The sequence below is a fragment of the Homo sapiens genome, chromosome 12 (assembly GCF_000001405.40).
Source record: "Homo sapiens chromosome 12, GRCh38.p14 Primary Assembly".
Lineage (NCBI taxonomy): Eukaryota > Metazoa > Chordata > Mammalia > Primates > Hominidae > Homo > Homo sapiens.
The window spans coordinates 30,856,377-30,869,112 of NC_000012.12; the positions used below are offsets into that span (position 1 = coordinate 30,856,377).

General features: G+C 40.5%; 1 pseudogene; it reads left to right on the forward strand.

The window, feature by feature from the left end:
- Positions 5,545-5,803, forward strand: PPIAP44 (peptidylprolyl isomerase A pseudogene 44; annotated as a pseudogene).

Genomic DNA, 12,736 nt, shown 5'->3' on the forward strand with positions numbered 1-12,736 from the left:
GATGTAAGCTGAGAAAGGGAGAGTCTAAGGTTTTAGAAAAATAAGGAAGTTATTTTAAAATACATTACTTTTGTTTCTTTGTTTGTTTTAAATGGATTACAGAACAATCAACAAAGCAGCCAGGTGTGTTGATGACAGCTCTCAAGCTTTCACAAGGTGTAATAGGACGGATGAGCCCATTCCATTGAGACTAGCACTACCCAGGAGAGCCAGGAAGGTAAAGAGACCACCTACAACAGTGTAATCCGTCCAAATAAGGACATCAAGTCAAATGGATGGAGGGAGACAGTAAATTTAAAACATTAAATTTTAAGTAAAAACAAGTCATACACTTCATGTCTAAAACACCAAAAGCAATGGCAACAAAAGCCAACATTGACAAATTGGATCTAATTAAACTAAAGAGCTTCTGCACAGCAAAAGAAACTACCATCAGAGTGAACAGGCAACCTACAGAATGGGAGAAAACTTTTGCAACCTACTCATCTGACAAGGGCTAATATCCAGAATCTAAAATGAACTCAAACAAATTTATAAGAAAAAAACAAACAACCCCATCAAAAAGTGGGCAAAGGATGTGAAGAGACACTTCTCAAAAGAAGACATTTATGCAGACAAAAAACACATGAAAAAATGCTCATCATCACTGGCCATCGGAGAAATGCAAATCAAAATCACAATGAGATACCATCTCACATCAGTTAGAATGGCAATCATTACAAAGTCAGGAAACAACAGGTGCTGGAGAGGATGTGGAGAAATAGGAACACTTTTACACTGTTGGTGGGACTGTAAACTAGTTCAACCATTGTGGAAGTCGGTGTGGCGATTCCTCAGGGATCTAGAACTAGAAATCCCATTTGACCCAGCCATCCCATTACTGGATATATACCCAAAGGATTATAAATCATGCTGCTATAAAGACACATGCACACGTATGTTTATTGCGGCACTATTCACAATAGCAAAGTCTTGGAACCAACCTAAATGTCCAACAATGATAGACTGAATTAAGAAAATGTGGCACATATACACCATGGAATACTATGCAGCCATAAAAAATGATGAGTTCATGTCCTTTGTAGGGACATGGATGAAACTGGAAACCATCATTCTCAGCAAACTATCGCAAGGACAAAAAACCAACACCGCATGTTCTCACTCATAGGTGGGAGTTGAACAATGAGAACACATGGACACAGGAAGGGGAACATCACACACCGGGGACTGTTGTGGGGTGGGGGGAGTGGGGAGAGGTAGCATTAGGAGATATACCTAATGCTAAATGACGAGTTAATAGGTGCAGCACACCAACATGGCACATGTATACATGTGTAACAAACCTGCACGTTATGCACATGTACCCTAAAACATGTACCCTAAAGTATAATAATAATATAAATAAATAAATAAATAAATACCATACTGTTTTCACTTTAAAAAAAAAAAGAAATAGAACCATATTGATTCTCTGAAATCTTTTTTTCTCTTGGCAAGTCAAACTGTAAAAATAAACTGGAAAAATATTTTTACCCGAAAAAAAAAAAGTCATACAAAGTTGAGATAAGATGTAGAATAGAGTTAATTTATTTTCACGGTTTTTATTATCTAGATTGCAGAAAGAATTGAATGTGAATGCATGAAATTTAAATGCACATCAAAAAGCATGCAGGGTACATCAAATTAAGAGGCATGTGACAAACTGATATTTTCGCAAATATTTTCTATAGAAATTAATGTTTTTATTTTCAATTGTATTTATTTATTTTTCTGCTTTCCAACTTTTATTTTAGGTTCAAGGGGTGCACATGCAGGTTTGTTACATGGGTAAATTGCGTGTCATTGGGGTTTGTTGCACAGATAATTTTGTCACCCAGGTAATCAGCATAACATCCAATAGGCATTTTTTCGTTCCTCACCCTCTTTCCGCCCTTCACCCTCAAGTAGGCCCGTGTGTCTATTGAGGAGTTAATGTTTTAAAAATATATCTTGCAAATCAATGTGAAAAACATTAACATCCAGTGGAAATATGGGCGAAGTTCCTGAACAGAAAAATCACAGAAATTAATTTAAAATATTGTTTAAAATTAATCTCCCATTTGTAAAAAGAAAGGAAATTAAATACATAATAAATAAATGCTCATCATTTTTAAAGATATTTTAATGCCGAAAAAAGTAATCTCTGAATCCCAAAGGGTAAAGAACATCCCCACAAATAGAGTACGCTTAGCTTTGTGCAAACTCACCACTCTGTTCTTGTAGTTCTTGTTTCACTGTTAGTCAGTGACTGAAACCAGTCTGTGGGTCACTATTTGAAGCACTGACCTGGAAAGTTCTGAGTGGATAGGTAAGCCTGTGCAAACGGATGGAGGAGACCCAATCTGTGCAAACACTCAGGATTGCTGGGATATCAAAGGAGGTCACCGAGGGTGCATTTGTCTGATGGCCTTGGAGCCTCCTGGGAGAAAGAGAATCAGCAAGAGGACTTTGGGACTACCCGCCTTGCCCCTGGACCCTAGAATGAAAGGGCTCTACCAAGAGACCATGTGAATATCATGGCGGATGGGGAAGCCAGCCTGTGAAAGCAGGTGTGTTATGAAGAACGCCATGCCTTGGAGGGCAGCAAACTGTCAGGGGGCTGACAGCCAGACCCCACATGCTCTAAGTTCTTCAACAGAGGAGGCTAACAGGACAAGGCACTTGAGAGTTACAATCACTGAGCCTCAAGGCCATCTAGGAAAATGACCACATAGCCCTTAAGGACTGCCAGTGGTTCTCGTCACTTCACACAGGGGGTGGCAGTGGCTGCAGCCTGCCAGCCACATGTCAGAGTGTAGGGCGCCTGACTAAACCAGAGAGGTTTCTGCATCTGGAAAACAAAAAGATTGTCTCTACAAATAGGAGATGGTCCTTGCATGAGGACCTCGCATAAGACCCCTTCACCAAAGCAGCCTCCCTCCACTTCTCTGAACACAACCCCACCTAGGATAAGCAGGACCCCTCAAGGTGTGTTGCTGGCAGAGCAGAGGCAGGAGGTCCACCTCCTTCCTAGGGCTGCCCAAGGACTTCCCCAGGCTCTACCTTCAGAGGAGGCCGTGCCTTTGTCTGCAGGTATTGTAGACTTTGGAGCAGCTGGATCTGCATTTTGCCAATGACTTCCTCCTGGGAGCCCCAAGTCCTATAAGAGTCCTATTCTTCAATTACAGCAGTGGGAATTCTGACAAGATGAAGATTTCCAAACCCCAAGTTACTGCTAGAACTAATTGGACAGTCACTGTATGTCACACCCTTTCTTAGAAACACTCGGTGTCCATCATTCAGTCCTTACTGCGTGTGTCACTGTGAGCTGCTTGCTGCCTTCACTTTGCAGCTGAAGGCAGTGAGGCTGGGGGACCTCAGAGAACATCCCTAAGGTCATACAGTAAGTGGCTAAGTTGAGATTCAGACCGAGGTCTATCCACTCGCAAGGCCCCTGTTTTAAGCACACTACACTCCCAGCAAGAGTAGCTAAGGGAAAAAAAAAAACCACCTAGAAACAGCCTGAATGAACATCAGAAGGGAAATGATTAAACTTCACAATACCTGTCCTATGTAATTGAATGCAGCTATTATAAAGAAGTGAGCTAGTTTTATATACGTTAACTTGGAAACTTTCTATGTTGTATGGTTAAGGAGGGAAAAGAACAAAGTTGCAAAAAGATACATCATACTATTTCATTTTTTTTTTTTTGATAAAAGTTTTACATGTGTGGATATGTTTCTAGAAGCATGGAAAACTTATGGAAGCCAATAATGCAACCTCTGGAGTTACAGGGGCGGGCCACCGGACCCCTGAGCTTAATAACCGGAAGATTTGAGAAAGGCGTGCGGCGGGCAAAGATCGCAGAAAGAGTGGAGGACTGGTGCCACTCAGACACCTTAGCTCGCTGAGAGAAATGGAGACGGCCTCCAGGACATCTTAGGACCCTGGCTGATTCCGAGAATCACAAATCACATCTCTGAAAAAAGTGAGAACTTCATTCTTTCATTCAGTGCAAAAATGTTTACTGAACACCTACTATGTGCCAGACACAACCGAGATGCTGGTGATATGATGCAGACAAAGTAGGCTCAGATCCCTGGCCGGGAAGAATTCACGTACTATTTGTGCATTCTAGTCAGTCCGTCTGCTCCTCCTACATTGCCTCTGCCACCTCAACTCTGTCTCCCCCAACCCCCAACACACACACAGAGTACAATATTTGGCTGATTCATCTTGCTATGTTCAATGTTTTTCTTTCCAAGAAAAAAGTTGAACAAAATGAGAAAGCAACAGATTGGTAAGGCATTAGAGCTTGGTGATCTCAGATAACCCCACCCTTCAGTGAGGGGCTGCCCATGGAATTAACTACATATACGACAACACCTAAAATCCTGCAAAGCTTAGCCATATCAGCATTTTATGGAATAGAAAAAAAGATCAAGTCCCTGTCCTTCAAAGCTTGTACTCATGAGAAATAAGATAGCAGCACCAGGCCGGGTGCAGTGGCTCACGCCTGTAATCCCAGCACTTTGGGAGGCCAAGGCAGGCAGATCACAAGGTCAGGAGTTCAAGACCAGCCTGGCCAACATAGTGAAACCCTGTCTGTACTAAAAATACAAAAATTAGCAGGGCATGGTGGCGGGCTCCTGTAGTCCCAGCTACTTGGGAGGCTGAGGCAGGAGAATCACTTGAACCCGGGAGGCAGAGGTTGCAGTGAGCCAAGACCACACCATTGCACTCCAGCCTGGGTGACAGAGTGAGACTCTGTCTCAAAAAAAATAAAATAAAAAGATAGCAGCACCAAACATATATTTCCTTTTCTATATTGTGTATACTAAAGTTGTTTTGGAAAGTGGAAGAGGATGAGTTTGCTTGTCAAATTATAATACGTTCCTGAGGAGGGCAATGAGAATCGAAAGCCAAAAATTAGTGTAGGCTTCCAAATAAAGTAGGTTCAGGGTGCTACCTTAATGAGGATTCTTGACAGCCCACCGTGTAAACAGCAGGGATAATGTTATGAAGGTGAAATAAGTACACCCACAAAAAGCGACAAGATCTAAGAATAAGTAGGATAAAAAGACACAGATCTTAGTCCATTTAGGCTGCTAAAACAACATGCCCTCAACTGGGTAGCTCATAAACAACGGAAATTTATTTCTCACTGTTCTGGAGGCTGAGAAGTCCAGGATCAAGATGCCAGCCGATTTACTGTCCGGTGAGGACCTGCTTTCTGATTCATAGATGGTGCCTTCTAACTGTGTTCTCACATGGCGGAAGGGGCTGGCTAGCTCTCTGGGGTCTCTTTTACAAGGGTACTAATTGCATTCATGAGAGGCCAGCCCTCATGACCTATTCACCTCCCAAAGGCCCTACCTCCTTATACTATCACCTTAGCAGTTAGGATTTCAATGATGAGTTTGGGGGGACACAAATATTCAGACCATAGCAACATTGATGAGAAGATCCACAGAAATCCTGGAATTCGGTGAGGAATAAATCAAAGTATAGTACCTTTGGTAGTTTCCATCTATGTCGAGAAATTTAATAATGAGAACTTCATCCTAAAGCATACAGGTCCTGGCATCTTGTCCATGGCAAATGCTGGACCCATCACAAACAGTTCCCAGTTTTTCATCTGCACTGCCAAGACTCAGTGGTTGCATGGCAAGGATGTGGTCTTTGGCAAGGTGAAAGAAGGCATGAATATTGTGGAGGCCATGAAGCGCTTTGGGTCCAGTGGCAAGACCAGCAAGAAGATCACCATTGCTGACTGTGGATAACTCTAATAAGTTTGACTTGTGTTTTATCTTAACCACCAGACCATTCCATCTGTAGCTCAGTAGAGCACCCCTCCACCCCATTTGCTCACAGTATCCTATAATCTTTGTGCTCTCACTGCAATTCCTTTGGGTTCCATGTTTTGTTTCCATCCATGCCTAGCTGGATTGCAAAGTTAAGTTTATAATTATGAAATAAAAACTAAATAACAAAAATAATAATAATAATGCAACCTCAACATTGAGTACCTCAGGGAGGTGTGGTTGAAGGGGTAAGGGGGTGGCCTTCCAGCTTAACACTTAAAATGTTAGAACAAGAATACTTCATTTTCATAATCTAAAAGAAAAAAGAAGACCTTTATTTTTGTCTACTTTGGACACAGTAGGAGGTGAGTAAATGTTTGCTGAATTGAATCAAATTGAACCTACTGAATCTCCCCGTCCGCTGGGACACTAGCTGGGCAGGCTGCCCAGAAGCAGGAATGCAGAGCCTGTGCGTCCAAAGATAAAGTATCGCTCTGCCACAGAGGCTGAGGCATCCCTGGAGAGAAAGAACAGCCTTGCCTGCTAGATTCATTTCTACCATCACCCAGGCCTCCATCCTTACTGGGAGATGCTGGAAATAGCTTCACCTTGCTTCTTAACTGACTCATGGCTTTTGCGTTTCCAGGCAGCAAAATCATATTAGCAGCCCCAAAACCCAATAAGGACCATGTACCCAGTCAAAACTTCTCAACACAAAAGGAGACAAGTAAGACTGGTCAGCTGCATTCTGGTCTCCTCTTAGAAAAATCACTGGTGGCATGAAATCTTTAGTTTATTAACAGACATCTCCTGCATTCTGACAATAGTAGCTCATTCAAAAACAAAAAAAGAAGAAGAAAGCAAATGGTGACCCAGGTTCTGAGGGATGAAACCAAAATTTTATCACAGTAGCTCAGCGCCTGGCTCACTTGGGGCTGCTGGGCAGTGAAAAGATGGAGAACTTTTGACTTTCCAAGGCATGGACTTGAAAGTCACCCACTGTTTCTGTGGTTACTGTATTAAGGCGTTTTAAAAGCAAGTGAGTGCCAAAGATGAAGGTGATGGAGATGCGCAACAAGAAAAGCTGAATCTTTCTCCAGGACTTAGATGAACTCAGTGTGTAACTGGATCCTAACCATCTTCACACAGTCAGGATGGGGAGGGGGATATTTTTACTTATTTTATAAGTAGGTGAGCAGAGCCTGAGGCACCCAGTAACATTCACGCAAAGTCACAGGGCAACTGAGGCCAAGCCTTCACCCAACCTCATCACAGGTGTGAACTCTCCATTCTGAACACATGCCATCCTCCCCTAACCCCCAAAATCATTCCTCCTAAGGAGGAATAAATTGGATATTGGGCCTCAGTTTCTTTGCGGATGCAGGGTGTCATCCAGGACCAATCCTTCATTTTCCTGCAGATGAAATACATCAAGCTTAACTCCCATCCTAGGACTAGGAAAGGACTCACAAGCCTGTGTGGTTCAGAGAAGGCGCAGATCAAAGCACATGACATTGTCATTTCTACAGCCATATGGCACTTGACAGATTTAAAAGCATTTATGCACGTTTAACTTCATGAACCTCACAACCTATCCCCCCTTCCCTTGAGTAGGCAGGACTGGCCTAATTTTTCCTGTTTAATAGCAGAGACTCAAACAGCTGGGAACAGGCAGAGTAAAGACAAGAAAGTCTTCTATTCCCCAATCCAATGCTCTTTCTGCAGTGCTTAAAGAGCAAAGCAAAGCAAACTTCTCCAGAGATGCCTCTGCCTCATGACCTTTGCCTGGCCTGAAAGTGAAGAATTCCACTGGGCTACAGTAGTCAAGCACCCTGTTGGGAACATTTCCTCCTGAGCCCCCCCAGTCAGTCCTGCCTTTTAATCATGGCCTCATGTAAACCCTTGCACCCTGTGGGAGTCTCAGCTGGGATCTGAGTTTTTTAAAAAATGGGGCTTCATCCATGTTCACCGTCCCCCACAACACACACGTCCCCTGAACACACATCCTGATCAGTGGCTTCTGGGCACCAGTGTCTGGAAATAACCCCTGCCCTCAGCTTCTTTTTCTGGGAAGCTCCTTCTGTAACTTGCTATATCAACCGTCTCCCATTGTGAGAGGGAAAAGACTGAAGAATCTGTAGGGTATCTGGACAGAGTGCCATTTTATGGTATGTGTGTTTAAATAGCTTTTGCTCCCTGATTTTATGTTGCTTAAGGTTATGTTGAAATTAGCATGTCTAGGAAATAGCAGTGAGGAAAGGTGGCCCAGAAACCTTTTTTAGATAGCATGAAGAATGTTGGCCTGCTTTTAATTCTGTGCATGTGGATATATAACAGTGAATGGGAATTGATAAAATCTGCATTTCCCTACTATCTTTTCTTGCTTGTGCCTAGTAACCCTCAGAGAATGGGGTCAATGTAGGAGCCTCTCGGGAGCACCTCAGTGTTAGCCTTCTCTCTTTTCTGAGCAACCTTACTCTGGGTTACTCAACAGTCCCAAAAGATTTTAATGATGGTGGTTTCCTTCTTAACAACTGAACCTCCAATTCAGAAAGCTCAGCTTTCTCCTCTCTGGGTCATGGCAGATGATCTCACAGTTGTGTGCAAGCCCCATCATTTTTCCCTTCATCTCCCCTTCCCACTCCTACCCACAGGGACCCACTCAAATGTCCTTTCACTGAAGAATACCTAACATTTTTGAGAATGTATGTGCTTTTATTTAATAAGAGTGATATTGGGTTATATATCTCACTTTTTCATTCAACACTACCTTTTTGAAGATCTTGTCACTAAATCTGATTCATGGTTTCTGACTACTGCAGAATATTTCACTGTATGCACCCCACCGTATCCCACTCTGTCTCTTACTAGCTGTGTTGTCTTTGGCAAATTACTTAAGTGCTCTGTACCTCAGGTTCCTAATATATAAAATGGGATGGTACTAGTGCCTACATCACAGGGTGGTTATGACGATTAAATGAGTTTTGGACTGGATGTATCTGAAGAGCTTCGAGAAGCACTTGGCACATAAAAAGTGCAGAGGAAAAAACACCTTAGTTAACATTATTGTTACTTCCCTATTCCCCTGATGAAAGATGTGTTGGTTAGACAGCTCTCTGCTACAACAAACAATGCTGAAATGGGCATCCTTGCTCATGTTTCTTCTTATAATTGTCTGTGAATTTATCTGGGACATATACCAAGCAGTGGAACTGCTGAATTACAGAGCATGTAAATTACTTTATAGAAAATGCCAGACTGCACTCCAGGATGTACAATTTACAACAGTCCCCCTGTTGCAGCTTTTTTCATTCTGGTAGTTCAGCTGACAGGAGTGTCACAGCTCTTTTATTATCACAGTTCAGTGAGTTCTGGGTCCTTGTCTCATGACCAAGAGTAATAAGGTACTGGAGAGGGGGTGTATTATAATTAGTCCATTCTCACACTGCTAATAAAGACATATCCAAGACTGAGTAATTTATGAAGAAAAAGAGGGTCAGTGGACTCGCAGTTCCACATGGCTGGGGAGGTCTCACAATCATGATGAAAGACAAAGGAAGAGCAAAGGGACTTCTTAAATGGTGGTGGGTAACTGTGCAAAGGAACTACTCTATAAATCCATCAGATCTCATGAGACTTACTCACTATCATGAGAACAGCACAGGAAAGACCCACCACCATCATCCCCTTACCTTTCATCAGGTCCCTCCTATGACATGTAGGAACTGTGGGAACTACAATTCAAGATGAGATTTGGGTGGGGACACAGCCAAACCATATCATGGGGTAAGGCAGGGTAGAATTTATTGAGCAAAAGAAAAGCCCTTGACAGCAAAAAGGGACCCAAAAGTGGGTAGCTGGCTGAGAGGCTGAGTCTAGGGTTTATATGGGCTTAGAATGGGGAAATGCATGCTGATTGGTTTATGAGTAGGACTGGAAAAGACACCCTTCAATTAGTTTGTGAAAAGAGCCAATCAGGAGAAAGTGGGCATATGCAAAATAGTCTTGGAAAAGGCACCATTCAATTGGTTAAGAGGCATCATTTAGAAAGAACCAATTGAGAGAGAGTAGGTAAAATGGGGATGGAAGTTCTCATTCAGGTTCATGGATTCTATCCGGAACTGTAGCTCAGTTTTCAGGGTTTAGAGTGTTCTTGGCTTGAAGGTGGAGTTTCACCAGGGACCTGTCTCTGTCTGCCCAGGAATTTGTCTGTCTCCTGTTGCTATCACCACTAACAGTCTTGAAAGCTCTCACTCCCCACAGCCTTATCAATGCTTGATAATATCTTACCTCCCACTGGCTGCTAATCTGATGGGTGGAAAGTGGCATCTTCTTTTGTTTTGTGTGTCTTTGATCACTAGTGAAGTTAAGCATCTGTTTGTACATTAGTTAGCCTCTTGTGAGTTAATATCTTGTCTAATTTTTTCATGCCTTTTCCTTCTTGATTTGTGGTAGTCCCTGGTATATTCTAGAAATATCCTTGTTAGTTTTAAAAGTTGCATGTATCTTCAAACCTACGATCAATCTGTCATCTTGGTGTATGGTGTCTTTTATTAAACAGAAATTTTTAGTGTGGTTGCACGCAACCATTTTGTCCCTTATGATTCATGCTATTTGAATAATGTGTGAAAAATCTTTTATACCCCCAAATCACACATGTGCACACACAAGCTCCTTCATTTTTTCAATATCATAAATTTGCCTTTCACATTTAGGTCTATATTTGGAGATTATGTTTGTATATGGTAGAAGATAGAGATCTGAATAATTTTTCTCCAATAGTAAACCAGTTCCCCAAATATCACCTATATAAGCCATCCTTTCTCCACTGATGAGTGCCACCTGTCTCATATAAAATGACATATAGCCACGAGTTTATTTCTGCACCCTCTGTTCTGTTGCATTCACCTTAATCATCCTGTACCAGCAGCAGATTCATTGAATTAGTGTGGAGTTTGTAGGATGTCTACAGTAGATGTTAGGGTGAATGTTTTCTCTTTTTTGAAATTTATTATTTCATACACATTTTAGAATCACTTTGTTATGCCAGTGCCAAAATTTTACCTTAATTCTTATTGAATTTTTATTGAATTTATGGATTAATTTGTGGAGAACTTATATTTTTAGAATTACATTACATACACACTCTACCTCTCTGTTTAAGTCTTATAATCTTTAACAGAGTTTAAAATTTTTGTCCTTAAAGAACTTGCACATTCTTTGTTGGACACTTTCCTAGGTACTTCACAATTTTTTTTTGCCTCTGAAAATAGTATTTTTTTCCTATTCTATATGCTAGTTTAAAAAAGAAAACTGTTGATTTTTGTAAGTTGGCTTTGTATCCAATAAATTTGTTGACATCTCATTAGTTCTAGTGGTTTGTCTCTTGATTCTGTTGGATTTCTATGTCTGCAAATGACTTTTTGTCCCTTTTCTCTCTACCTTTATTCTTCTTATTTTTTTTTCATGTATTATGGCATTGGCCAGGATCTCTAGTAGTATATTGAAAAGTAACAGTGTTTCAGAGGTACTTCATCTTTTTCCAAATCTCAAATTAATTAATAGTTTGTCTGTTAATATATATATTCACAGTAAAATCTTGGTATATAGATTTTATCAAATTTTACAAAAGCTTTTATTTCCACTTATGGCAATTTACTTTGAGAGATTTTACAATTTTGAGTGATCTTTGCATTTTTAAATACACTCTTGGATTTAGTGAGTTAGTATTTAAATAGGAAATCCAAATGAAATAGATTATGATTTTCTTTTATTATACTGTTCTTATCTGATTTTGGAATCAAGGATATACTAGCATTATAAAAATAAGTCAGGCAGAGTTTTCCCTTTTTCTATTTTCTGAAACAGCTTGTATAAGATAGAGATTTTTGATTCCATTAAAGTTTGGTGAAACTAGCCTGTAAAACTGTGTGGATCTGGGCCTTAAAAAAGGGAGGATAGGGCATGGTTTTGATTACTCTTTAATTCCTTTAGCAGCTATAGTTCTGTTAACATTTTTTATTTTTGTGTAATATGTTTAGAAATAATGCATCCAACTCAAAATTTCATCCAACTAAAAATTCTATGTAGGTTTTCAAAATTTTTGCTTTCTAGATCATAGAATTCTTTTGATATTTATCAATTACTTAGGCAAATGTTTCCCATTTTGAATCCTTCATTTTGTTTGCATGTCATCTATTCTTGCTCATTTTTGCCAGAGGTTTGTTTTTCAGAGAACAAGCTTTTAGTTTTGTTAATTATCTCTGTCATTACTATTCTCTATTTCATTATGTCCTCATCTTTATGATTTCATTTTATATTATTTGCATCAGGTAACTCTGTTGCTCTTTTTCTAAATACCTGAATTGAATGCTTGGCTAGTTTGTTTTCAGCCTTTCTTGTTGGGTAATAAATGTATTATTCTAAGCTATGTCTCTCAAATTTCAACCCATTGTGCTTTCATTATTGTTCATCACTATTTTGTATTTTCCCATGTGTGTGTCTGTTTAAACAGGTATTCTTTTCAGGCAGGTAGGCTTTTTTAAAGCTATTTCTTCATTAGTAATTACTAATTTTATGGCATTACAGTCAGAGAATAAAGTCTCTCCACACACCCTCAACCATGTTAGTATCCTCTACGGTTATAGTATAAAATTACTACGGCTAGACCTCTACATTCTAAGTTCCTTTTAACATTTTATTTTCTTCTCCTTCTCCTTCTCCTTCTTCTGAGACAGGGTCTTGCTCTGTCACCCAGGCTATAGTGCAGTGGTGTGATCACAGCTCACTGTAGTCTCCCCAGTTCAAGCAATCTTCCCACCCCAGTCTCTCAAGTAGCTGGGACTACAAGTGTGTATCACCACACCCAGCTATTATTTTTATTTTTAGTAGAGATGAGGTCTCCTTATGTTGC